The sequence below is a fragment of the Homo sapiens genome, chromosome X, assembly GCF_000001405.40.
Source record: "Homo sapiens chromosome X, GRCh38.p14 Primary Assembly".
NCBI classification, from domain to species: domain Eukaryota; kingdom Metazoa; phylum Chordata; class Mammalia; order Primates; family Hominidae; genus Homo; species Homo sapiens.
The window spans coordinates 40055783-40083344 of NC_000023.11; the positions used below are offsets into that span (position 1 = coordinate 40055783).

The 27562-nt window shown below is 50.9% G+C and overlaps 1 protein-coding gene across 47 annotated transcripts in view, besides 2 other annotated features; it reads right to left on the bottom strand.

Moving 5' to 3' along the window:
- The window catches only part of BCOR (BCL6 corepressor), a 126032-nt gene that overhangs the window by 4537 nt on the left and 93933 nt on the right, over window positions 1-27562 (bottom strand). For 13 of the 47 annotated variants that reach the window (XM_011543931.3, XM_011543930.2, XM_011543929.3 and 10 more), the window contains exons 2-11: window positions 22062-22187; window positions 20672-20750; window positions 16567-19398; window positions 15855-15908; window positions 15191-15377; window positions 8554-8817; window positions 7826-8170; window positions 6964-7289; window positions 6357-6611; window positions 1373-1539 (exon numbers count right to left, since the gene is read on the bottom strand). In XM_011543931.3, the coding sequence (XP_011542233.1) occupies window positions 1373-1539; window positions 6357-6611; window positions 6964-7289; window positions 7826-8170; window positions 8554-8817; window positions 15191-15377; window positions 15855-15908; window positions 16567-19398; window positions 20672-20750; window positions 22062-22147 (4595 nt within the window). In that variant the 5' untranslated portion in view covers window positions 22148-22187. The remainder of the gene's footprint in view (window positions 1-1372; window positions 1540-6356; window positions 6612-6963; window positions 7290-7825; window positions 8171-8553; window positions 8818-15190; window positions 15378-15854; window positions 15909-16566; window positions 19399-20671; window positions 20751-22061; window positions 22188-27562) is intronic. The other 34 variants (XM_047442213.1, XM_047442211.1, XM_047442214.1 and 31 more) reach the window with 3 other exon arrangements.
- Window positions 3068-3567: an enhancer, noted in NCBI's record as "H3K4me1 hESC enhancer chrX:39918103-39918602 (GRCh37/hg19 assembly coordinates)". NCBI's record gives its function as "activates a minimal SCP1, AML or CMV promoter by ChIP-STARR-seq in primed H9 embryonic stem cells {active_cell/tissue: H9 hESC(primed)}" and the evidence as "EXISTENCE:reporter gene assay evidence [ECO:0000049][PMID:30033119]".
- Window positions 17959-19158: an enhancer, noted in NCBI's record as "MED14-independent group 3 enhancer chrX:39932994-39934193 (GRCh37/hg19 assembly coordinates)". NCBI's record gives its function as "activates an origin of replication core promoter dependent on BRD2, BRD4, P300/CBP and CDK7 cofactors, and independent of MED14, by STARR-seq in HCT116 cells {active_cell/tissue: HCT116}" and the evidence as "EXISTENCE:reporter gene assay evidence [ECO:0000049][PMID:35650434]".

Below are 27562 nucleotides of genomic sequence, written 5' to 3' on the forward strand. Positions count from 1 at the left end.
TCAGGCCTAAATCTCAAACCCAAATCTATCCTTTTTTTGCGGGGGTGGGGGTGGGGGTGGACAGGGTCTCACTCCACTGTCCAGGCTGGAGTGCAGTGGGGCGGATCATGGCTCACTGCAGCCTCGATCTCCTGGGCTCAAGTGATCCTTCTGCCTCAGCCTCCTCATAGCTGGGACTATAGGCGCATGCCACCACACCTGGCTAATTTTTTCTTTTTGTAGGGACGGGGTCTTACTATGTTTTCCAGGCTGATCTTGAACTCCTAGGCTCAAGTGATCCTCCTGCCTCGGCCTCCAAAAGTGCTGGGATTACAGGCAAGAGAGCCACTGCCCAGCTGCAAACCCTATCTTAATCCAAGGCCTAAGAAGGAAGTCAAGCCCAAAATGAAAACATTTTCAACAAATTTAAGTAGTCATGGACCATATGAAGGTAACTTACAGGGGATAAAAGAGGTCCCATCATCATGGAAGCCAATACAACAAGCAACTGTCACACATTAAAAAAAAAAAAAAAAAAAAGCCACCTCTGTTTTTAAAAGAAACTAGATGCAAAGAGATTAGCAGAGACTCTCCTGAAAGCCTGATCCCAGGACCTCACACAGATCAGTGATTAACCTCTGGCCCAGAAGCCAAGGGAACGGTGGGGAGAAGAAACAGGCCTGGTGGGGTGTGTTCTCAGCAGGATACAGAGGCCTCCTACCTGTGTCCATGGAGCTGGGGGTTGGGGTTGGCAGGGAGAAGATGGGTCTCTGCCCAATCTGAGGGAATGCTATTTGCAAAGTGTGAAACACCAAATACATTTCCGTTTGGCTATTTCTGTCACTGTCAGGAAACCCCCAGTGCCCAGCCTCATGGCAGCATCCCACTCACACAACCAGGAAGATGTTCAGGCTGACTCAGACCTGGGTCTCTGACCAATAAACCAGGGTCAAGGACAGGGTGAGGGCCACGGCTGGGGATGTGGGTGGCAATGGCAGGTCCTGCTGAACCAGCGGAGGGGCAGCTGGCACTCTGTGTGTACTCCTGGGACTTTCAGCTCAAATATATTTTAAATACAGTGACTTCATAGATGGTGATGAAGAGTCCAGGGTCTTAAAAGGCAACACCCCCAATTATTCATGCAGGCCTCAACATTTTCAGAAGCTTTGGTTCACAGGAACATTATAGGACTGATCAAAATTGGGAGCTTTACATCTACATTTGCCAGAAAGGTCTGCTGGATTCAATTCCAGAGAACCCAGTGGTCAGTGTGCTTACAGTCACCCTCTGTCTTTCCTCCTGGAATTTCCCGTATACACTGAGAACCACCACCGCACAGATAGGGAAGCTTGGTCTCAGCAGAGCCAGGCTGAGAACAAGACACATCACTGACCTGGTTCCATCCTGGGCACTACAGTTGACATCAGCGCCATATTCAAGGAGGTGTCGCACAATGTTGAGCCAGCCCCTAGCACAAGCTTCATGCAGGGCGCAGTAACCTGCGTTGTCCCGATGATTTACATCACAAATCTTGTTCTCTAAGCAGTACAGGACCACTTCCTGTGGGGAGGGGAGGGAAGAATGCCATCAGATCACTGCACAATGACCTTGTAAGGTGGACCTCTCTGTAGCTTTCAAAGACATACACCCTCAGGCCTGAGAACCTGAGAACCTCTCGGGCGGGCTGTGGATGTCTTGGTGAGGGGGAAACACATGTGCGAAGCGCCTGATGACAGGGACAGCATCATTTAGGGGTCTGCTGCCCAGCTGCCTGGCCCTGGGCGAGTTATGCTCCTAATTCTCCAAAGCTTCCTTTCCTACCTCTGGAGGAGAGTAACAGCGCCTACCAGAGGCTGCTAAGAAACTGTAATTAGAGACCCACACAAGCCCTTAGCTCAGTGCCTGGCACAGTGAGTACAGAGGGATTTGGTTGCTAATGTTTCAAACAACGCATGAATAAGTACAAGGACATCCTCCTCACTCAATCGATTCATCCAATAGGTAGTAGTGGATGACGACACAAGTTTAGATAAAAGCAAGGCCAATCAAGGCATAATGAACAATTAAATGAGCTGGAGAACGTTTCTCAACTTCACAGAGAGGAGGATGCCCAGGAGTTTAGGCTGGTCCTCACGCCCCTTGGAAAGACCCGGAGTTGGAGCCTGGGCGGCAGTGCCTCTGTTGGTATCATACTCATCAACAAATGACATCAACGCTTCCAATAACCCTACCTTCTTTTTGCTTCACTCTCCGCCCCACTTGGGGCTGAATCAATATATTTTCATATTTACTTAAGTTAATGACAGGAATCTAATACACCACATACCACAACCTACGCATTTCAAGAACTAAGTAAGACAATCCTTCCCTTCCCCCTTTGCAGAATGTGTTCCGCATCAACAGTTTGCATGAGAATCACTGTTATTAATCTCACTTCTTTGGCGTGTTAAAACATTAAAATGAACCGCTCCCAGTAAGCAGAGCAGTAATTTAGTCCATGTTTTATTACCTTGATTAAGAAAGTTTTCAAACACATGGAACAGTATCTGCCACCAGACAACAGGTTACACTGTTTTCCTAGCAGTCATGGCCAGCAGAGAGCTGTCAGGTTCTGAAGACTGGGGGGAAAGCCAGAACATGTGGGGTAGCCCAACACATGTTCCACTTGGCAAGGGGGGAGCTTGATGGGTCACAGCAGGCTCTCCTTTGTGACAACTCTTAAATAACTCATCTATAACCTAAAATAGGCAGCATTTGAGCCACCCATAAACGTGAGGTGAGTTCTGAAAATTCTTTTATGCCCTTTCTAAGACACATCAGTCAAAGGTGATCACTCACTTGAACACTAACTAGAATGTTCTAGATGCTCCCCCTGTGAACCTAAGGCTGCACGCTGGTAACCCTGGCCGGTAACCCTGTTGCTTCAGGACACTGCGGCAGCTCCCTTCCAAATCAAGGGGAGGAAGAGAGAAGGCATGCCCACAGATGCGTCTCTTCCTTCAGGCCCTCACCTGCCAGAAAGCCCACAATCCTCTGAGCTCCCAGGCCACCTGCCCCGAGCACTGGTATCCAGGATACCGCATGAAGCTGCTGCTCTTTTAGCAGGCCCTCACTAGCCAGACTCGAGTGGACGGCTGCAAGCTAATGAGCTGTGTACCCAGCCAGGGAGAGGCCCTGTCACGTGACTCAGGGATCAGCTCTAAGCGCCACCGACTGCTGTGCACAGATCAATCTACCCGGATCCCGGCAGCCGGCCTGGTGTCCTATCAACCCAGGGTTTATTTGCTCTGACAATTATGGCCTTCACCTGGAAACCTTCATCACTACTAGGGCTGATCTGAGGGAACATAGAAATGAAAGATGTCGAGGCTGAAGGGTAAGTCAACTCTGTTATCCTGGAGGATGGCAGGCAAGACAACAGTAACCCAACAACCAGGTCAGACGTTTTGCCATTGGCCACCGTAACACTTCTGATGTTCCCAAATGTGTATGTCATATCCCACAGTGACCTGTGAGATCTCAGGAAGGAAAAGTGGTATGAGTCTCATTCAACACTCAAGGAAGTTGAGGCCCAGAGAGGTTAAGCCCCATATTCAATTAACACAAAGTATCAGACCCATAACTCAGGTCTTTTGGCAACGGGTCTGCTGGGAAGTTTCCAAAGGCCCAATCAAGGGCCCTGGCTAGAGGGCTGCAATCCAGCCATGACCGGCATCCCTTGCACCTTTTCTGTTGGGGTCAAGCAGGCTAATGACACTCTCCTAGATGGGAGGGTGATGGGATCTTAAATGGGTGGCAACCGCTGTCACCAACAGAGAGAATGAAGAAGCCAGACAAGTCTGTCTACCCATTACATTACTTGGTTTATTCTCCACGCTGGAAATGGGAGTGTTTGAAGGGCAGCCCGCCCATTCCCAAACAAAATCAAACTGTTTTTGTTGGACAATTCTCTGTTAAGCAGCTATAAGCTGAATGACATTAACCGCAAAATGTAACCATAAAGGCCATAAACCCGACATTGTTAATTAATTAAATGCCTCATTAACTTTTTTAAAAACATGATTTATTCGATTCATAGAAAACTTAACCATCACTACTAAATGCACACACATGCGGTTCCACATTGGCATCTTAGCCTAAGAACAGACAGGTTCAACTGTAACTGGCCTTTCAGGTGGTCTATTACAGATCTGAAGACAGAGGGTGTTTCTAAACCTCAAGAACCAGATTAACAGAAAACAAAGCTTGAGCAGCCTTTTTATTGCATGTGGTATCTTTTTAGCTAAGCAGAAGACAATGATAAAGAGGGGTTTTGGGAAACCTCTCCCAAAGCTGTGCATTCATACCGTACCTTATCCTGTTAAGCAAACTGTTCTTTTATTTTAAAGGGTTTACACTGCCACATCTGAATGGACTATCATCCTAACATTTTAATTTCTGACTAAAGAAATCCCAGAAAGTTGGATTCAAAGTTGAAAGCTTTCATCTAGTAATTAAAACATTCAGCATCAAAACTGATGACCTGGGAAAGTTCTATAATGACATTTACATTTGAAGGGGAAAAGTTGTCCTTCCATAAACATTCTCAAGGCTTCTTGCACCAAAGGCCTGGTAGCCTAAGAAAGCATGGATCAGTGTTCCTTAGTCCAGGCCTGCTATAGGAAAACCACCAGAATGGAAACTGTTCCTTAGAGCACCCACAAGGGTCTCTTGAAGCTCTGGGCTCAGAAAGGTGAGACTGGCAGAAATGAAGCCAGGATCAAAGACCAGGCCAGGAGCCCTACCCCGCTATGGCCGGCAAGTTTGCTGCCCTGGAGCCCTCCCTTACCTCTGGTGTTTGCTGGAAGCACAAGTCCATTTTCCCAATCATGCGTAGGAATGAGTGGCCCTGCCTGGCACGCTGCATCTACCCTGTCCTCATAGGCGCCGCTGCTCTCAGCTTATGGGAAACCAACTGGCTGCCACTTGGGTTTAATCTGCAAGTAACTGAGCTAATTTTCAAATCCTTCTAGAGAGTTCCCTCAAAGATAATCCAGAGATATCGATAAGAAACAAGCTGGTATGAATAGACAAAGTCACATACAACCAAAAATACCTAGCTAGTGCTTCAAAGGACCATCCCACAGGTGTGAGCCAGCATCCCAGTTCCCACCCACACAATCATGCCCCAGGGTGGGCTCTGGGTCAAAGGGAGACTGGCAGCTGGGTCACCCCATCAGGAAAGGCTCAAGGCACAGCAGACTGCTGACTGCAGCATGGTTAAGGTGCATGAGCCTGGGCTCTGGCTGAATTCCGGGAGCCCACAGCTGAGCATGGCCTGGCATGGATCCTGTCGCCCGGGTGCTTCTCCACACTTCACACTCAGCCTGCTGAACCGCATTTTATTTTCACCACGACTCCTAGAGAGCTGATGCCAGCATAAAAAAAAATGTCTTTGCACTGTGGGCTATTACATCACTATCTCAACTGACAAGTGTGTGGTGGGGAGACGCACAGGGGCAGACGTAGGTTTTGAACTGTGAAAAGCGTGATTCCAATGGGAGCCAGTCCTGGAGAGGAGCCGAGTTTGGGGGGATGGGGGGAGACTGGGCTTTGGAGCCAGGCTGCTGGATTATTATCTGTTCAAATCATGTAACGCCTCTGGGACTCAGTTTCCTCATCTGAAAGCGGGAATAATATTAGTTACTACTGCACAAAGATGATGAAAGGGTGAAATGAGTTACTTTGGATCTTAGGGGCTCCGTCAACGTAAGCTATCATTGTCATGGCCCATGCTAGGAGGAGGATGAGCAGGGGGGCTGGGGAGAAGCAGTGAGTTGAGGGAAAAGTCTCAGTCCCTCCCTCCAGAGCCCTCAGCCCTAAGGCTACTGTACCCCCCCACTCAGAAAGAGACCTTAGGTCTGCCCCACCCCCCTCCCTCTGTGACCTACACAGCTACTTCCTGCCTACTCCCCCTACACGGCCACCCTTCCACCCGAAACAGTACAAGCAGCCCCAGATAGAGCTAATAACTTCTCTCCCCCTTGCTAATCAGAATCCAAAAGGGCTCATTAAAATTCCCCTAGTCGCCAAGCCCTGGGTTGTGTCAGATTTTATATCAGAGATAAGTTAGCGAGACTGGAGGATGCCGTAGCAGCCTACCTGCCTGAACACGAACTGAACATCAGAGAGGCCTTTCTTTCCACACCGCGATTGAACAAGCCACCAAAGAGACAGCAGTGAGAGTGGGGCTAACACAAACATCCTGTTGGAGCACCGGCCCAGCCCCGATGTGGAGGGGGCTGAGCTCTGCTCTCCATGTCCCTCCCCTCGCCCACCACAGTCCGCAGGCCCCGCCCCCCAGCCTGCAGCCCCAGGGAGCGCCCACAGGGACACACCTCATAGCCAAGCCTGGCTGCCCGCTGCAGAAGGGTCTCGCCAGCGTTCTTATTGACAATAAGTCTCCGTGCTTCCGGCGGCATAGGGCGAGACTGGGTGGTCTCCTGAGGGGAACTTGAGCATGGCAGCTGTGTGGACTGGGAGGCTGGTAGCAGTTGCTGCAAGCGGTCGAAGGGCTTTGGCTCCTGCTTGGCTGGTGACAGATCATAGTCCGAACTGGGCTCCGGCCGCTTTCTGAATCTCCGGACAGTCACCTATCATAAAACCAAGCAGCGCACACGGTTAAGCCCGTGTCCTTCTAACAGCCGCTGCTTCCCCTCCTCCTCCCCACGTGACAAACCTGCGTGGAGAGAGGCACTTTATTCCTTATCTTTTTTTGGGGGTGGGGGGTGCCTGTCAAAGGAGGGTTTGGGGGAAGGGATTTCATTCTTACTAGTTTGAAACTTCGCTGCCACCCAGAAGACATGCTCCTCTAGGACAGGGGAGTGACGTGTGGTGTGGGGGAGGAGTCCAGGAAAAGGAAAGCTTTGTCCCCTCAAGCTGGGAAGCAGGCAGGCGGGGATGTGTTCGCACAGGCCCCAGAGGGAAGCCGGGGTCAAGAGGTACCTTGCCATCGGCATTCTCCACGTAGTATTCCCCTGTCAGTGGCAATCCCCGCCTGGACTCCTGAGGGATCAAGTGTTTGGTTTTGCACAGTCTCTTCCCGGATGGCTTCTCGCTGTTGTCGGTGTATTTCTGCAGCAGGGAGGCAGCCTGGCAATCCTCTTCTTCGTCTGCACACAGCACATCTGTCTTCTGGTTTTCTTTAATTTTCTGCTGTTTGGCAGGCGGCCTGGAGGCTGGTGCGCAGCTTGGCTGAGCCTGCTTTTTGCCGCCTGCACTGGTGGATGAAAGACTCTTCATGGGCGGAGAGCCGGAGAACACAGGCAAGCCTAAATACGGAGGGGGTGACGGGGTGGCGGGCGGATGGGAGACGGGAGAAGAAGCGGGCGTTACACAGTTGTAGCCAGTGCAGGAAGAAAAGCCCATTGTTAACACTGATCACTGGAGCGGCTTCAGTTTTTAAAGATACACCAATTATGTTTTCAAAGCATTAATATTTTAATTATACCACATTCAAACGGCACCTAAGTTAACCCACAAAACGCCAAGTGGCAAGTTGCTTCAAAGGGCCCGGAAGAGAGGACAGAAGCTGGCTCTTCCTGCTTTCCTGCCCCCTACCCACTGGGTCTGGGTTGCTCAGGACCCAGAGACTGGAGACAGCCTGAGGCTGGAATGAAGGTGTTCAGACTTCCTTCCTGTGCAACCACGGGCAAGGACATCAAGAGAGAACTCCCTGCCTGCCACATCTTCGTTGAAGTCAATTGCTATGGCCTTCTAAGATCTCCTCAAAAGCCCTTTCCTACAGAGAGTGGATGACCCACCCTCCAGGAGCGGGGTGAACACTCAAGGGGTGGCCCCCGCATACCTTGTTCATTGTCACTGGGTTTAAGAGACTCTTCCGACCAGCTTCTGTTGCCTTTGGCCTCTGCCCTTTTCCTGCCAGGTTTCTCTTCAGTGATGTTAGTCCCCTGAGGAATGGCCTCAGGCTGAGTGGCCTGGGTCACTTCCTTCCTGCTTTGCCGGCCAGGTTTGCCATCTGCTGCCGACACCTGCTGCTCCCATCGTTCTCTAAGGTGCAGCAAGTGGCGTTGTTTTTTAGGATGGAGCCCTGTTAATTCAATGCACACCTTCAGGTTGGTCAGCTCACTATAATGTGGGTCTTCTAAGTGGTTAGAGGAACTGTTTGTCATTTCCCTCTCAGGCCAGTCATCTAATGGAGAAATAACTACAAATTAATCAAAAAGCCCCCCGGGGGGGAACAAACTGTCTTACGCATCACTAATGGGGTGGGGGAGGGGGGGTGTGGTCACTGGTCTCTGCTTTTGGGAAGGGGCCTAATCATCTTTGGCCATCTGGGTTCTGGCTTTGGGGGAGGGGAGGTGTGGGCGGCTCCCCCCGGGGGCTCCAGGGTGGGAACCTCACGAGGCAGTGTGGGAATGGAGAGGTCCGCTCCACTGCTGCGCCCCCACGGCTTCCCCTCACCGACTCTGTCTACGGGGGCAGCGCGCCGCACATCCACATCTCCTGTCCATCCACTGTGGCCGCATGCAAAGGCCCACCCCCCGGCAGGCGGGCGAAGCAGACAGGGCTCACCTTTAGAGACTCGTCGGCGTTTGGCTTTCAGCAGAGGGTCCTCTGGCACCTCCTCCGCAGTGGTCTCAGTGTGGCTGCTGTCACCTGAGACTTTGCGTTTCCTGTCCACCCGGAGGGTGGGGCTGTGAGGCATGTCCGAGGCCACCTGGTCTGCGGGAGGCTCGCTCACAGGCTGCCTCTCCACAAAGTACTTCTCCACAGGAAGATCTTTGTCCTCTGGGGCTTCAAAGGGATCACGGTGCTTGTTTCCAACACTATACTCGCCTGGGGGAGGGGAGACAAGAGGGCATTAATGAAGCCCGAAGGTCGCCATGAGAAGGCAGGATCTGGGGAGTGCGTGGGACCACCATGCCCAAGGTAATCTGCTATTGACAGCTGCTTCTTTGGAGACTGGGGTCCTCACACATGGTTAGCACAAAACCCTCAGAAACAGAACTTTCCAGAGGGAGGGTACATTGAAGACGAGTGGCAAGTAAAGCAGAGTGAGGTGCATGTCACACTCCTGACTTTCTCCTTCTCCCTTCTTATGGTTGGGGGCAAGAGGGAACCAAGAAAGATGGGGCGTCAATGCTACGTTTTTTAAAGCACTATAGTCCTTTCAGCAGAAGATGCAACCAAGCTGGGGCTGACCTAAAAATCTTTATGGAAACATTTGCTGAGGTCATTATTTTGAAATAAATGGCAGGCTGATAGGATAAAGTGACCAAATATCCCCAAAATGTCATCTATCGAAGGGATAACACCAATATTCACCTAGGCCAACCGGGGAGATGAAAATGGACTGGAGACAAGAGTGTTGAAAGAAAGCCTAGGTCCTTGATGGGCAGAAGTGACCCTCACTCCTGGGGGGCTCTGGGCCTACAGTCCAGGCCAGAGGGAGGCAGGGAACCCAGGCAGACCCAGGCTGCTGGGAAGAGGGGCGTGGCAAAGCCAAAGGCAAGGTTTCCTAACACATACACGAGTTCAGAGAAAACTTCAAAAAACTCGATTTGCTGGATGCACAGATGTGAAACCAATGGGTTGGGCTGTTCCCATTTCCTGTCCAACACAAAGGGACCCCCTTGGGGATGCTGGCCACCCCAGCTGACACTCCTCTTCACACCCTCTGTCACAGGCAAGCATCGACAGACATCTCCTCATTGTTGGTGTGTCCTTCCCATGCCAGGCCAGCGCTTGCAAAACCGCTCGTTCCAGGAACCCTGTGCTCGGCCTATCACGGGCCTTGGGGCTTTTCCTTGAATCACCTCAGCCCAACATCACTTCCTATTTTTGCTCTAGCCCAAGAAATAGCTCATTAACTGCTTTGCTGGTCACAATTTTTCTAATACACAATGAATATAAATGATAACTACTTAATGACCACTGCGAGGTTAAGGTGTCAGCCCTTGGCCCGCTGAAATGATCCCTCTCATCACCAGGGTTATGAGTCTGGTGTCTTGGTAACTCTGAGCTGAGGCACACAAGTCAATTTCTAGATGAAATAAGCACACGCCTCATCCGCTGATCTCATTCTTCCTCTCCCCAACCCACTTCAAATATTACTCCCACTCCTGACCAGCACCGCTCACCCGCTTCTCTCGGGGGCATTGCCAGCGGTTCACGGCAGTCAGCTGTGGGGGTGAGCTTTACAGGGGTGTTGGCTAGCCTGTGCTCTCAATGGTGCAAGGACCCATTCACCTTCTCTTCAAGGGTGTTCTAAGGGGGAACAGATGGGGCTGCATCTATTCTTGCAAAGGAATGGTAGAATCTCCCCAACCGTTCCTCCTCATCCTCACTCACGACAGTGCACTGTATGGACAGGGATGGCTGGGACTGGGATTCGGCACCCAAGCCCCCACCATGGAATACCACCCCAGGTCTCTGTAGGTACAACCAGCAACGGATGGGCGTCCAAAAACATGGCCAAGGTGGTGTTATGTCACAGCAGCAACAGGAGAAAACACACAAGCTGCCCAAAACTTACACTATGCAGAAGTGGTGACCACTGTGCTCAGCTTGGCCTGGGGACGCAAAGAGGGTGGGCTGCGACTCGAGTTGCTCTGTGTCTTAACCACTCTGGCAGTAACAGCGCCACTTTACAGTTTGGCCCCCTTGAGTTGTAAAGTGGGACTATTACTGCAAGCCACCTCCCCCGGTGGGCTTCATAAACACGGTGCAGCAGGGCAGAGGGTAAGGCTGGAGAAATTACTTACAAAAGGACGCTATGATCCCCAGACCAGCTTGATTTTTAGCCCTGATATTTATGAAAGTTTAAGATGTGAACTGATTGTCCTAGTTATATACTATTTGACTTTCTGGAGCCAATCAGCCGCCCCTGAAAGCCCTGTGGGAGGGGCTGGGGGTGCAATGTAAAAATGTAAAGACTGTGTTACGAAGCGCCACATGCAAGGTTACTTTTATACTTTTAAAGTGTACTCATTTCCCCTCCCTTTAGGTAGGAGAGAGGGTTTGAGCCAAGTGGTTTGAAAGCAGAGGTGACTAGGTAATGTCACAATGCCTTCCTGGGTCAAAATGAGGCAGCAGCTTAGCCAGTGTGGGGCCCCACCCAGAACGAACTGCCCTGTCTTGGCACCCTTCCCAGAGACACCCCCCCCCCCCCATCAAATCCCCATCAGATTAAGAATCTCTCAACCCTAGTGCTTTGGATTTGACTTCCACAGCTTCCATTTGAACTCCAGGTCTCACACAGCCACCTGTATTTGTAACAATCTCAACCAAGTCTAAGGCATCTTTCTCAGGGAGAAAGTTTTCCATTGGAGTTTTGACCTTCACTGCAAACTTCCTAATAGTGAAATGAGTTTATATCTCACCTACCTGGCCTTATGCCCAAACTGCCAGTATATTTTGTCCACAGAAAACCACCTAGAAGACTTGTAATCACTTATTTCACAGACTGGCATCAACAGGCAGTGACTAACTGGGGACCTAGTCTCTCTGCTAGGGAGCACCCCCATTAGATATGGGGAGGTCTTGCCATCTGTCTTCTCTGGGGCTCCCCATCTAGGAAAAGCTGCCCAGTGGGGGTGGGGAGGGCTCCCCTGCACACACCACCTTCTGCTCCCCATTCATGGGGAAGCCAGCAGGCTAGGATAAGGGGTGCGAAACACACATGCCTCCTCCAAGTCCCCACCATTCCCCGTTCAGCCGGACAGGGCCCCCTTCTGCCTCCTGAATAGTCCAGAACTATTATCGGGAGCCCTCCACTGCTGCATCTGGGGTTCACTGCAATCATGCCTGCCCACACGCAGTGTAGATGCTTCTTGTCCGCTCTCAAGAAGATCTTTCCGCAAACGAGATCTTTCCGCAAATGAGGCCTATTGTCCTTCCTTCAACCCCTGAGCCTCTCAAGGCAAACATCCCAATTCCCCTCAGTGAAGGCCCCCAAACCTTATGCTAGGGTTTCCCTCCATGGGCCAGTAATAATCCCAAAGAACACCCACCTTGACTGCCGAAGATACGTATGGCAAACAGCTATGAGGGAGAGGCTCCAGGTCACTTTCCTGTACACTTCACTTGGACCTCCCTCAAATGGGGCTATTCTTACCAGTACCCACAGAAATTACTCTTGAGGGCAAAGGAGATGGGTGCATAGACAGAGATGAAGGGATAGATAGGGGTCCTAACCATCAGGGTCCTCTTCCATTGCAACTACTTACAGCCCTTCTGTGAGTGGAATGCCATGTGCCTTTGGTCATGAGATCTAGGCAGATGTGAACATGGCTGAGTCCTACACCGTCTACCACTTTCTCCTTGCATCATGGTCCTATAAGGCACAGCACATACATCCCATAATTTACCATGGCTATGCCATTGCAATACCTCCTGGAAGCATCGCCATGGCAACATTTACAAGTCACCGTGGCAACAAAGCAACCTCACCACTGTTATAACCACGCCCAGTAAGCCCTAAACAGGATGGCAGAGGACTGAGATTTTTGAGGACTGCCCATGACATCTACTCCCTCTGCAGGCAACATCACCTCTAGCAGAGGCCAACCATGTTATAACTTCTACCCTCTCCAGCAGCAGAGGCATTGGTAGTCATCTGTCTGCCCAAACTCAAAGTAGTTTACAAAGTACATAGGGGCTGCTGTCCTGGAAGAGAAGTTTCCTGAGCCAAGAAGTCCCATGAAACCCTTTCACTTTCACTCAACGCTTTCTCCAGCTCCCGCTCAGGCATTGCCACTGAGTGAGTCCTAGGTCCACACAAGCCAAGTGGCTACCAAGGGAGACAGACACCCAAATTCAAGAAGGAAGGGCTAATATGCACATCTAATATGTATCAACAAAAGTAAATCAATCAATAAAAATAATAAAACTAAAAACAAAAAGGAAGGGCCCAACACCTCCGTGTTCCCTACCCCATCTTCAAAATGCCACTTATCATTCCTTAGGAGTTTGGGGACACTCCTAACTCATTTGTTCAATTTCTAAATGAAAAACTCAGCAACCCATACTATCACTAAGAGTCAATGAAAATCCTAACCACGGTGTTGTCCAGTTAATTCAGTTTTTTTAAACAAGCCCTCCCAACAAGATGCACCCACACGCAGGCAGCTGAGGCCGCACAGGCGGCACCTGCCATCTCAGAAGCTACTGGTGCTGTAGGAGTGGAGGGGAGAGGCTTCGGGGAGGCATCCTGTACCCTCTTTGTGACCCCTGCCTGCCCCAAATCCCCACCCCAGTTTCCATATGCTCACAGCTTGGCTCTGGGCCACAGTGACACCCATGAAGAGACGTGATGGCCGAGATAGCTCAGTGAATTTGAAGCCAAACGGATCCAGCGCATGCTGTACCCTGGATGAGATGGCAGTGGCAGCAGCAAGGACAACATTTCCTCTAGGTTCCTCCTCTTGATCAACCACAAACCTATGGTGCCCCAGCTCTTCCTTGGCCCTAGTATTTAAAAAGCAGCCTTCACCTTCCCCCAACTCTTCTTCTGCTCTCCCTGCCATGGCTCATTACCTGAGGAGCACTACGTGGTGACTTATGGCTTGCAGGGCCCTGTCCTGGGTGCTCCAAGAACACAGCCTGTTGGTATGAAGCTTGGAGGGACTTACAGAAAGGGAAAGGGAGGCCTTTCTACATCATGTGGGGCTTGGGCCCTGCTCCCCATTGGCCACACCGAGTTACTCAGATGTGAACGGAGGGTCTGGCCATGTTACTCAAAAACCACAGCAAGGGCAAGAAGGCTGGAAGCTGGCTAAGTTCCTGTCCCTTCCTCCAGGCCCCCAGCCATCTACTCAGAACAAAGAGGGATTCTTATGTATGGCACTCCCTCTTTTAGAAGCACCTTCCCCATCAACTCGGCCTTGCCCACTTCTCCCAGGTCCCTCTGACAACCTTCCCAAGAGCTGGTGTTGAGGCAACTCAGAGTGGGGGCTGCGAGTTGGCAGCAATCATCAGGGAGGAGGAAGGCTTTCTTTGCCACTTCACCCAAGAGTGGCTTGGACCTCCCACTGCCCTGTAGCCACTCTTTGAGGAAGAGTGAGCAACTTCAGGTACATTGAGTCCCTGCCACTTGAGTAAGGCCACCACCTATTAGCAGCAGAAACTACTTTCTTCAGCAATGACTTACAACAAATCAGTCCTGGTTTAGCTTACCCAGGATCCTGGCAGGTGGCCTTAGTCTGCTCCCAGGGATGAGCTGGAAGTGGAGGGAGGGGTGTGCGCTCCGAGTATCAAGAAGCACACTCTCCCTGATCACACATTCTTCCCAAACTCTGTCAGGCACCGATGAACTGTGTTGTGAATGTCAAACCTCCGACGGCCCATGGTGGGGAGCTCTCAAACATACCCAACACTTCCAAGTGTCCTGTGTCAGGAGGACTTTGCACCTACTCCTCCAGTTAGTTCACCCAGACACCCTAATTCCCCTTCGCCCAGTGAGGTTTCTCATGTTGCAAGCAGACCTAAAGCTTCAAGCTTGCATATTTAAGAAATAAAGAGGAAGACCTCCACTTGCTGCCAACACATCTTAGCACCCTAGAAGACTCGTGAGCAAATCCCAAAGTCAACCCTGTTGGTGGGGTGGGGGACCTGCTGTAAGGACCAAAGGGAGTGTACTGAGGAAGATACTAGCCTTCTCTTCACATCACTTGCCCTCCAAAATGCAAGCTGCCCTCTGTCCGGTGGGAAGAGCCCCCTCATGCATGCCAGGCTGCCTTGGGATTCTGTGGCCAATTCTCCCCCACCCCCCACGGTAAATCGTAACGCTCATCTTTATGGTGACTTCACCATGTTCATCCTACTTCAACAACATCTATGCCTTTGGAGGGAGAATATAAGGACTCTTCATTCCACATCAGACTGTCACCACAGGGGTGGGGCAGGAGATGGCTGGGAAGTGTCATTCCACTGCTACAAAATATAACCTGTCCCTGCACCTAATTTCCTACTGCCATACCTCTGCTACACTGCGTTATATTAGACTGTTATCAACTCTAGAACCAGTGCTTCTTTGGAAAAAAAGATGTGTCCCAGGAAACTATCTTTCACAGACGCCTCGTTCCTGGTTGCCACCATTCATAAGGACAATCGGCCCTTCATTCCATGCATGGCAAAAGCAGCCCATTTCTCCAAGCAGATGCCAACCGGACCTGAGGCCAACACAAGCAAACTGCTCAGGTTTACTTACATCTCTCACTTTCGTTCTGTTCTGCAATGGCCTCCTCCAGGGTGACCGACTTTGGCTTTTTGTCCTGATTTCCTTTCAACCTTTCCCAGTCGGCTGGGCTGAATTTGCACATCTCGGAGTCTTTGGTTGCTGGGTGGCCACCTTCTCTTTCTTTCATCTCCAACTCTGAGAAGCGCATCATTGCACGCTAGAAAGAGAACGGAGATGGAAAAAAAAAAAAACAACACCTTACCATAAAAGCTATTTCATTTGCCTTATCTTAAAGGAAAGTATTTTCAAAGAAAAGTGCCCAAAACCAACCACAGCTTATGAGATGTAACTCAGATATTTTAAAGTTTAACAGATAAAACTTAAGAGTATCTATATATAAGTAGTCACACATTCTTTATTCATAAAGTCATGTGTATATAGATATATATGCGATGTGTATGTATATCCACACATACACTATTGCATACAGACAGACATTCTCTTTTGAAGGTAAATAAAACAAAACGAAAACACAACGCAAAGAAAACAAAACAAAAACACAACAGAAAAGAAACAAAATACACAATGAATAAAGACGACCATGGCCCACAAACTTCCCTTTGTATATTTGGAAATGAAATTTAACTCAAAAGGTTTATGTAAGATTCTAGTAATAAAAATTTGAAGAACTGACCTCACAGTAAGCAGCGGGTAGACATAAAATACTGTCCTCTTGTAATCCTTCCATCTATGTAATTAAAATGGGCACTCAATGGATCATTTAGATAACTTCATCCATTTTTATAAGCATAAACCAATTTTTTTCTTAACATTGCAAAACAATTTGGCTTTATTCATCTTTTAATTAAAAGTAAAATATCTTAAGGAAATTCCTATACAACATCTATCATAATTCACTAGCAAGTTAAATACATACTCTATCCCTTTAAGCAACCTTTTTTCTTTTTTTTTTCCTTTCTTTTTGGTGAAAAATTTGCATGAATCCCACAGACATGCGGCTGCTACACATCTCTACCAGGTATCAAGTAAGGCATTCTAAGCAGCACTTCTAGGTATATTTGCTATCTTACAGGCAGAGAAATCAAAGCAATTGATAGGTAAACGTCATGCAGTCTTTAGATACCCTTCACAATAATTAAAACATCGGTTATCAGCAATTGAGTGGAGTTCCCTTATAATCTACAGAATAACTTAAAGCATCCAGACACGCCTCAGTGCTACCACTCACGTTCTCTTACTGGCCACATTGCATATATTCAAATTACCACAAGCTTCATTCACCAAATCTGCCTGGTGCCCTGCCCTACCATACTCCCCCAATCCTGTTTACACATTAAAAAACTGACAACTGGTAAAGTAACTGAAATTCAGGTGGGGGGGCTCACCTGCAATGCCCGTTGCTCCCGGCTGAGCTGACTGGAATCTGCATACAGTTCGGTAGTGACACATTTGAATCGGTCACCCACGTAACCCGCTGAGTTGGCGATTCTCTTTGCCAGCTTAGATGGCTTCGGTTTCAGAACTTTGCCATCATTTGATTCAGCCTCATCAGCTCCATCTTTGGTATAGGTGGGGGTCACATCCACACTTGGTGGGGCACTGCCCACACAAAATGGTTTGGGATCCTCTTGGGTTTTACCAAAAGTTACAGCAGGGCCATCGCTCCCCAGAGGTGGCTCCAGGAATGGAGTCGAGACTGGCAACCCTAGGTTCTCTTTGTTGGTACCTGCCAGAACACTGTCCTTGCTTACGGTGAAGACTGGCTGTTTGAAAGTATAAGTTTCGTGGAAGTCACTGATGCGCCCCAACTCCTCTCTCAGGGCGATGAAATCACGGTGCTGCTGCAGGGCCGGCTCAACTGAGGGCTTGGGGGGCTCAGCGCTCTGGCCAACACTCTCTGCTGCAAAGCTGGGTTTGGACACGTTTGTGTCAGTTTTAGCATCTGGTTCTTCTCGGAGAAGGTCTACGTAGACAAGCTTGTCGCTTTTGACAACAGTCTTCCCTTGATTCCAGTTGGGGTTCGGCTTTAGGTTCTTGTCGGTGGGGACATCTGGATGTAACTTGGTGCTGCTAGTTTCCAAAATCTCGGAAAACCGATTCCGGAGGGTTGGGTCCTCGTAACGGGCTCTCTCATGGGACCGGGATCTCCTCTCTGGTTTCTCCTCTTTAGTAATCTCTATGGGCGTGTGTGGTATCAACATGGGATGCACCATGCCCAACCCCAGGGCATCTTGGTAGGTCACAAACTCTGGACGGCCGGTGGGAAGCCCATAGGGCAGCCCAGGCTTTGGGGCAAGGTGCCCAGGAAACAGACTGCCATTGGGTAACAAAACTGGGTGAGGGTAGACAGGTCCTTTGCCATGTAAGGAGAGGGGACTTACAGCAATGCCCTCAGGGGCTGGGTAAGGGAGGTAACTCCTGGGGTAGGGAATTGGTGGGGACCTGAATGCCTCATTTGGAGACAGAAATATAGAGCTTGGTGGAAGGCCGTTCTCGTTTGCTTTGAAACTCGGTTCTGGGTTGCTGGCTTTGGCGCCCTTGCTGCTGGTGCTGCTACTGTGCTTGGCAGGAGTGGCCGGGGGCTGGCCCACGTGCTGAATAACGGATGGTGTGGTTTCTACAGAGCTCCTGCTGGTTTTGGTGCCATCTGCATTGGCATTGGGGGCGGGTGATGCGGAGGCTGGGCGGCCTGCACTCGACACTGACCCTGAAACGTTAGTGATGACAGCATCGGTGCCGCCCATGCGCGGGCATGATGAACTCCGCTGCTGTGGTATCGCCCAGTCCAATGCCTTGTTTTTCAGCGACATGCTTTTGCCATTGTTCTCTTCGTTAGGACTTGGCCCGGGCACCACCCAGGATGAGGGAGCAGTGCTGATGATTTCAGATCTATAGATAGCACAACCATTTCCTGGAGGAGATAGTGTTTCTTTCGGAATCTCACTTCCGGAGAGCACTAAGCCACTTCCAGCCCTGCTGTGAACCAGGACCGTGGGAGCCATCTTTTTCATGTGGTCAGCTTTGGAAGCATCTACATCCACCACTTTAGAAGACAAGTCTAGTGGCTTATCTGTGACGTCTTTGGTAACGGTCTGCTTCTCCAACAGAGGAGGTGAGCTGCCATCTTTTCTGTCTTGAACCGCTGTCTTCCGGGCATGCCCGGGCACTGGCTGGGCACCTTCGCCCCCTTCCGGAGCCTTGGGATACTTGCCATTGGAGAGCCTGGCCGCGGGGAACTCGCTGCTAACTGTCATGTATGGCTTTGACAGGGCAACTGAAGGAGAGGTGGAGATCCTGGCATAGTGCTTGTGGAACTCCGAGTAGGTGTCTGCAGCAGGCTGGGTGGGAAGGTGGACTCGGGGTGACGGCCGAGGCGAGGGGGGCAACAGGAGAGCTGTGTCCCCCGGCAGGCCACTGGTGACCGCCTTGGCAGAGGGAACCCTGGGCTGCTTACTGTTCTGGATGTGAGGATAGGCGTGGGAATCAACAGGATTCCCAGGGCTGACGCCCATCTTCCACGGGAGGCTTTTGTCTGCGCAATGGACGAGAGGCGGGATGGCTGGGGAGGCCGAAGGTGTCGAGAGCCTCATGGGTGATGCCAAGGACGATGGGATGTGGGGACCGACGTAGTGAGGTGGCGGCAGGTAGAGAAAGCGCTCCCCATTGGTGCAGACTGGAGAATACAGCGGCTGGGCCAAGCTGTAGGACTGCTGAGGTAGCAAGGCCTTGTACATGTTCAGTGAATACTTATTTGGCGAGTCGAGGAAAGGGTAGATGGCTGGCGTGGCACCCTCCATGTAAGGATTGACCCAGGGCAGCCGCAGATAACTAGCACCATTGATGTTGAGAGGGCTCTGTTTGTCGCTGGCAGGCCTGTCCAAGCCCAGCGCTTCTGCTGTGGCTACAGCACTTTTTTGTATTCCAGGCGGTGTTTTGTATATAGCACTGAAGCCATTTGGGGGTTTTCCAGAGACGGCAGAAGCCTCCACTGTCTCGGGTGTATTCGGTTTGAACTGCATCTCTGGATTTCTTTCCGAAGAAAACCCAAGGCCACCTAGAGTGCTTGTGGCAGCCTCCCGACCTTTCTCTGAGCCCAGTCCACACAAGCTAGAATAGACGATGTTTCCCGGGACCCGCAGCCCTTCCCGGATCAGGCCAGTGCGGTCCATGCTCAGTGCTGCCAGGCCATCGATCCTATGGGCCGTGCTCGCATCCACCTTTGCAGAAGAACAACATGGGTGTTACTGGGATACTCCTTCAAGGCAGCAGCACCCAAAGACACTGCCAACTAGTTCAACATGCCATCAGCCTTAACATCCAAGCACAAAGGGTTAAAGACAGGCTTCCGGCGGGGCGGGGGTGGGGGGTCTGTTTCCCCACCCCCTTATCCAAACCCCTTTGCTGCCTGCCTTCTCACCTCTCAACTAGTATCCTGGAAGCAGGGAAAACATTGGTCCCTTTGGACTTGAGGCCCATATATTAATTCAGTCATCTATTAAGTCTGAAGATTTTGGCCAGGCGCGGTGGCTCACGCCTGTAATCCTACCACTTTGGGAGGCCAAGGCGGGCAGATTGCCTGAGCTCAGGAGTTCAAGACCAGCCTGGGCAACATGGTGAAACCCCATCTCTACTAAAATACAAAAAAATTAGCCAGGTGTGGCGGTGTGCACCTGTAGTCCCAGCTACTCGGGAGACTGAGGCAAGAGAATTGCTTGAACCCGGGAGGTGGAGGTTGCGGTGAGCCAAGACTGCGCCACTGCACTCCAGGCCGGGCGACACAGCGAGACTCTGTCTCTAAAAAAATTAAAATTAAAAAATAAAAATAAAAAAGTCTGAAGATTTTTACCTTCTCAGCAAAAATTCTTTGCTACAACTAGGACACCAACTCCAAAACTCTCAGCATCACCCTCATGGGGTACAGAATTCACACTAACCCTCCCTGGGCCTGTCAGGCTTGGGGGTGGGTGTTCGCTTCATTTCCCCTGGGTGCAGGAAGGCATGACTTAACAGAACAAGAAACGATCTTCGATGGGACAACAGGAACAGAGGACTTTAGCAGCCTCATTTCTATATCAATATAGAGGCCATGGGTCAAACTGTGGTTGTGTCTTTTGACTTCCTCTCCCTTGTGTCTGAAGTGACAGTCCTGTGTTTCGTATTTTACTGGAAAGGTAAACCCTAAGGGGCTACTTGGAGGCTGGAAATTTATCCAGCTGGGAGCGCTGATGTGGCATCCAGCTTATGGAAGAAAAGAGAGTACACATCCCACCAGTCACTAGGGGACAGGGACATGTGTGGCGAGGCAGGAAGGCAAGACTGGAAGAGCTTGGGTGGGGGCCTTGTCCTCTCGCAGAGGCCTCCAACTCAGCCCTGCTCTGAACTGCCACCCCTCCCCCATTCCCCACCCTTTAAGGGCATGCAAATTAATACGATTGATTACAGATCACTGATATGCAGATATGGCATCAACAGAAGCTATTAATCTCTTACCACGTTGTGGTTCAAGGGATTCTCTTCCCTCAGTTCCAGTCTGGCTTTTGAAGCGTCACCATCATTTACAAGGATTTTCCTATTTAAAAAGATACACCAACTTCATGAAAGCATTCCTCACTGAATCCATCTTTCACAGATCTCCCCAGAACAGACCAGTTTCTACTAACCCAATTTTTAAAACTGTCCTTAACCCTCCGCCCCCACCAGCTGTCAATGGCCCATATTGAAAGTCGCCCCCAAATGGTGATTCAACTTGACCAGGAAAAACAAAGGAAACGCAAAGCTTTCATGTGTGAGGACATGAATCACAAATATGATGTCCCCAAGGTAGGTAAGCCAGAAATTAAGCACAACTACTTCTCCCTCGAGATTTTTTTCTCTAGAGGCCAAGTAGGCCAATCGGAGCTCGGCTGTCCCAGCCAACCCTTATAAACTCTCCTGGAGGGTAGACATGAAGTGGTAACACAGCCAAATACCAAAGGGGGCTGGAAGGCTGGTCGTGTCATCAACCACTTCCGTGTTACCCAGGAGGGTAGGCTTTCAAAACTTTTTCCAAAACAAAGTTAGGGACCATGTCCTACGAAACTGGTTTCCATGGTGATAAAAAAGCCATATTTGACTGCCTTTGTCAAAATGACAGGGGGATACACACTAGTATCATACAAATGTCAGCTGTTCCAGGCTGAAAAGGAAGCTGCACATCTGTGCCAGGCTGCTGCGGCTGCCCTGGGACTTGTTATCAGAGAGCATCGATAAAGAAAGTGCTTGGTGCCAACTTCCAAATCCCCAGGATAAAAATCGCTGACAAGCGGCAGAGGAAAAGTTTCCTCATTACCCCGAAGAGCAGCTTCAATCATCTACTGCTTAGCTGCCTCCACCCCACAACTCCAAAATTACTGATTAGGAAGCATAACAGAGCTGTCTGACGACCAAAAGCAGGCGCCAGTGGCCTCTGGGAACAGGCAGCAGAGGACAATGAGAGATCCTGGGCTTCAATGAAGGAAAACGGTGGCTCTCTCCCCATTTATTACTGAGCAAACTATTTGTTTTAAAAGCACATAGAATGCTGCTCCACCTGGGCCCACACTCCTGACATTTAGAGTTAAAGCAGTATATAGACTGGGATTAATTCTCCTTCATAAATATGAAATAATAAATTAAGGACGAAAGTGCACTGAAAGGCCGCTTTAGGGGCTAATCTTTTAAAGGGCGGCAATGCTTCACTGAGCCAGGTTGCCTGTTAAAACTGTAAATCAAGAGCGGCCTACTAGGCGGGAAGCTCTTTCTCTCCCACCCCTTTTGGGCCCACGGTGGCTGTGAGAAGTTGAGGGGGGCTTCAGCATGGGCGTGGGCTCCACTCAGGCCCGGCCCAGATGGGCGCATTCACCTGTCTTCGCTCGCCCCACACATGCGGACCCTCTCGCTGTTCATCCAGCTGTGAACGTTCCCATACAGGGGGGTTGCTGAGAGCATGTCGTCTTCTGGGATGGCAGCTTTGCTTCAAGCGTCTAGTCTGTTAAAAGGAAAGAAAAAAAATCCCAGGAGGTTCAGTAAAGGAGAGCCAAACAGGGCGCTAGAGAAGGCCTCTTTCTAGGTGATTCATAAAGGATGCAGATGGGGAAGGCAGGCTGTGCCTGCTGTCTACAGTGGTCTGGGAGCCAAGGACAGACACCTGACTCGAAGGGACAGCGGAGGGGCATGCAGCTTCCCTGGTAGGAGGTGCTGGGGCTGGGGAAGAAGTTTAATTCGAAACAGGTAGCCTCATCCAAGGCACAGAACACATTCAGGGCACACCACAGCACCCGCCCACTCCCTTTCCTCTGAAAGTGTACAGTGGTCATTCATTCTTGCCACTTGTTAAAGAAGGTAAAGAAGACTTGATTCAACAAGGGGAGGCTCTGACAATAGGTTCAGGGATGCTGCATCACTGGGAGGCACACAACTGATCTTTCCTGGGGCCAAAAGGGTGCAAGAAGGGTGGAAGGCACCACAGTGAGGTGAGCGGCAGGTCCAGCTCTCAAACTACCTGCGTTTCTAGGGCTGAATTTCCAAGGCTGTCGTGTGTGCAACTTACAGATCAAGTGTGAAAAAGAGTCGGTGGGCTGGTGAGCCGCCCCACCAGAGCCCTGGATTAGATTAAGCAGCTAACCCGGGTGGTTTTGCCTGGAAGCTGCAGAGAGAGGCGGCTGAGTAATTCAATGACGCCTGCTCACTGGGGACGAGAAATCATTAGCGAGCACAGAAGTCTTAGCAGCCCTGGCTGATGGGCTCCAAGCCGCTGGCACATGGGGAGCCGGCAGAAGCCACCCATTTTCCACGTTCCGGGAGCGGGAGGTTGCCAAGGCAGAGGAGCTCAGACCACCACCCACCCCCCTTTACCTCCTCTGCCCACCGCCCCCACCCACATCACATTCTAGTTTGCTGCATGAGTGAAGGGTCAGGACAAGCTGCATTTTATTAACAGGATTATCACGGCGCGTGATTTATCCTCGTGCAGGATTTTAATTGCTCTTTGGAGGTTGAGCCGTTTCTTTTGACTGCGCTTCAGCCCATATCCTGCTGTTAAATGCTGGGTTAATAAGTAGGGGAGCCTTTAATGCCTGGGACCGATGGCCCTCGGCAATTCCCTGCTCACAAACACATCTCAGTGTCCCTTGTCCAGACCGGCCATGGCATTTTTCCACGGGACCCAAACCTGGGTGTGAAATAATTGGTGTGCAGATCATCAGGGGAACTTTTTTCTCCTCCCTCACACACCCACCCACACAGTTTCCGAAAGCCCAAATGTTCCCTAAGTCGACACATTTCCTTTGTTAGCAGGAAAAAATATGCAAATGCTTGCTTTTACACTTTAGCACACGGAGCAGACTGCCAGGTCGGTTGGGTTGGAGGCACCAGGTCCGGGGACTCTTCTGTGAGAGTGACTGAGGGTGGGAGTTAAGGGGACACCTGGGGGATGGAATCCCAAAGCCGGTCTGTACTTTCTCATTTCTTTGTCCTAACTAGGTCTTTTGTCCACCAGCATCCCCCATGGGCCCCCATCCCCATAGAACAACGTCTGTTAACCAAAATCCACATGCAGCGACACACCACGTACAGTTAGAGCTCAACAATGAGGCTGGAAGAGAGGTAAAGGGCCCAAGAAAAAGGCAGAAATCTGCAGAGGCATCAGGCATGATGGGGTTCTGGAAAGCTATTTCCCTAGGAAGTGTCTCCAGACAGCGGCTCTTCCAGTTGACTAGCCACAGCGCCCCCAAAGGACCGACTCGGCTGTTGGGGAAGGTTCTATAAGGGTTCGTGGGCTTTTCTTCCATCTTGCAAATACACAAATCAAGTGGGGAAGGCCACCACTAGGGCTGGGCAGACCACAAGGCACATTCCCTTGTGCAGTGGCAGTGTCCCCTCTCCGGCCCCTGCTGCCCTTTCTAACAAAAGGAAGACATTCTGGGTAGGATAATAGAGAAGGTGGAACATCATTCCCCGGTGCCAGTGTGTCCCGGTCATCGGGCTGCAGCAGTGGGACTGCACCATGCCACCCCCTCACTGTGCCATGATGAAATACAGAAATTACATCATGAGCCAAAGGGTCACTCAACCAAACCCCCAAGAAAAGGATGAGGGAAGAAGCGTGTGCCTAATGAACCTCAATCTTCTGGTGTCCCCATTCTTAAAAATTGGCCTCCCCTTTAAAAAAGCTGCCTCTGGCCGGGCATGATGGCTCACGCCTGTAATCCCAGAACTTTGGGAGGCCGAGGTGGGTGGATCACCTGAAGTCGGGAGTTTGAGACCAGCCTGACCAACAAGGAGAAACCCCGTCTCTACTAAAAATACAAAATTAGCTGGGCGTGGTGGTGCGTGCCTGCAATCCCAGCTACTCGGGAGGCTGAGGCAGGAGAATCGCTGGAACCTGGGAGGTGGAGGTTGCGGTGAGCCGAGATCGCACCATTGCACTCCAGCCTGGGCAACAAGAGCAAAACTCAAAAAACAAACAAACAAACAAAAAACCTGCCTCTTACCCACCTCCCTTAAGTAGACACCTTGTGCAAAGGACCTCCCGGCACCTTCTTGGGAAACAGAATCATTATACTGAGGCCCAGCCCCGAAAAGGCCAGCAGCTGCTTCCCTTCAAAGAGCCTTTCTTCAGCAAAGTCCACCTGGACTTAGCAGAAAGGTGACTGCGGTTTACAGGCACCTGGGCCTACTGGGTGCTTTCAAAGCATCTCCCCTTCTCCAGGGCTCCTCCTTTGGGGCTTTCCATATTAATGGCGCACAGATAAATGATACCAGCCACCAGAACAAAGTGTTCTCAAATGCACAGGGTCAGATGGAGGGTTGAGGCTAGCAGAGCGGTTCACTGTCGTGTGTGTGTGTGTGTGTGTGTGTGTGTGTGTGTGTGTGTGTGTGTGTGTTTTGGGAGGGAAGGGGTGGAGGATGGGGCTGAACATAAAAGCAAAAGGGGGGAACACATTGTTGGATCCTGCTGTGGACTTACGCACACACGTGCACGCACGCACACGCGCACACACACACGCGCACACACACACACACTTATAATCTTTAGCTGCCCCATGAACTTTTTGTGAACTGTTTAAAAGTGGAGGTCTGTTGAACAAACAGCGGCGCCACTGCCAGCCATAATTTCATTGCAACAAGCTAAAGACTTTTAACTCTTCGGGTTCCTGGCCAAAGATGGAGAGGAGTGGAAAGGGCCAATGAGCAATGGCCCTGGCTCACAGGAGGCCCTCCTCCTGGGTGACAAAGAGCAGTCCAAACCTACAAAAGCAGGGACCTCCTTTGCAAAGGCCATACGGCTCACACCAAGCCTCTACTGAAGAACAGGGGTCACCATTACCTACAGCCCACCCTGGTTTCTCTGTCATGTACAACGAAGGGGACACTGGGGTAAGAAACAAAAAGAGACTGGGAGGCAAAGTATAGGGACATCAAACTTCTAGAAGCTGCTGTTGAAATAGCTGGGGACTTTTTTACCTCTAAGGCCAAGTGCTTCGAAACTGATGTTGCTGACCCTTGGCAGCGGAACACTGTGGAGAGGGCAAATGACCTGATTTCAATGACAAACAGAGCCTCAGGGTGCTTTGCAGCTATAGATGAAGCTCGTTTGCTTTTATTTTTCAATGCCCACCTCCACCCCCCACTTCTTCCAAATGCAGGCTATGCTTCCAGAAGTGCCAAGATGTGTGAAGTCACTCATGAAAAGCACTTTACAAGCACCAACCTGTTCCACTGTGAGCTGCGAAGCTGCACCTTGGATCTGGGGTTTAACCCCTTTTTCTAGTAGTGGAGAGAAGTGGGTAAAGGTGCTGGATAGGGATGGAGAGGAAAGACAGCTGAGAAGAGGTCAGATGGGGAGGGTGTGGGTCTCTAAAGAACAGACTGGGAACTGTTCCAGCTGCCTGCAGGAACACCCAGGGCCAAGTGGAGAGACCTGGCTTGTGAGAAGCAGGCGTGCACACTGCATACTGCATGGTCTCCAGCTCTTAGCACCAAGGAAGTGGAACACATAGGAGAGCTTGGGTCACCCTGGACAGACTCTGAGTAGTCATTCGCTCTTCAGCCAAGGGTTATGATGAGAGCACCTGAGCTTGGCCCGGACACGGGGGAGAAGGCCTGATTGGCAGAAGGGGGGCGTCGAGGGACCAAGATCATAAGCCATCACTCCAACCTTGGCATCCCTGAGTAGGGACACACCCACCCTCTGTGAAAAGATGTGAGGGCAGACCACAGGTCCCAAGCCTTGGCCCCTTTCCTTCCCCACCCCCAACCCTGGCCCCCTCTTGCACTAGGGCCACTTTCCACTGCCCCCACCCTTGAGGCGCCGATCAGTTAAAAGTCTGCACATTACACTTGTCAAGTGGCACTGACAATTTGGAAAGCATGGCCACCAAACTAACTCTGCTCACGCCTCCCTGCTGTCCACACAGGCATTGAGGGTGGCCCATCTCGGGGTCTTTTCTTGGGATCTCTCTCACTAGGTTCCCCTTGCCCCCACCGGCAGCTATCCAGCAGTTAACAGCCAGAAGAACTGGAGAGGTTCGCAAGGGCTTCCAGCTCAGGTGGCCAGGCAGGCATTCCCAGCCAGTGTGCTGGGGTCCTCTGGCAGAGGACTCTTCAGGGGAGGGGTCTCGCTACTGCATGGCTGGTTCTCTGTGGAGAACATGGTCACCACAGCCTCCCGGCTCCCACCCTCACTCACCGCGTGTCTCTGGGCAGGTGGCTGAACCTCTCCAACCTTGGTCCCCTCTGTAAATATTTGGCACTGTGTTTTCCAAAGGATTAAGCTGCACTATGGACTTGAGTTTTGCCTGGCAATAGCTGGCGCTGGCCACGTTTAACCCCGCTAAATAGTACCCGACTCCAATAAACACACTGTGTAATAAGCCCCAGAATCACAACACAGTTTCTTTGGGGCACTACCACCTCATCCTGCGGGGGAGGCTGAGGCAGCAACAGAGAGGGGATCAGAGCAGGGAGGGAACTTCAGCAGAACTGTGTAGATTTTACAGAAGCCCAAAGCTCACCACCCGCCAGCCCTTCCTGGGGTTGCTCCAAACAGAGACTGCGTCACAGCAGCAGCGCTGTGCTCCGGGTGTCAAGGAAGGGAGGGGTGAAGAAGTTCCTATTTTAGGATGTGAGGGGTGGGGGTGGGGTGTGTGGGAGTGGGAGATGAGAAGAAAAAGCTCTTCCGGATGTGCAGTGTGGGATGGGTCCTCCGGGTCTGCTGGAGAGTAAGATACCCCAAGGCTGCCCCCCAGGTCCCTGGGAGGCAAAACCGCAGGCTTCCAGGGGTGTGGTCGAGGGAGGTGGCTGGCCCGGTCCCACCCCTCCCGACCCCCTCCCCCGAGAGAGTTGGGGGTGAGGGAAGTGATC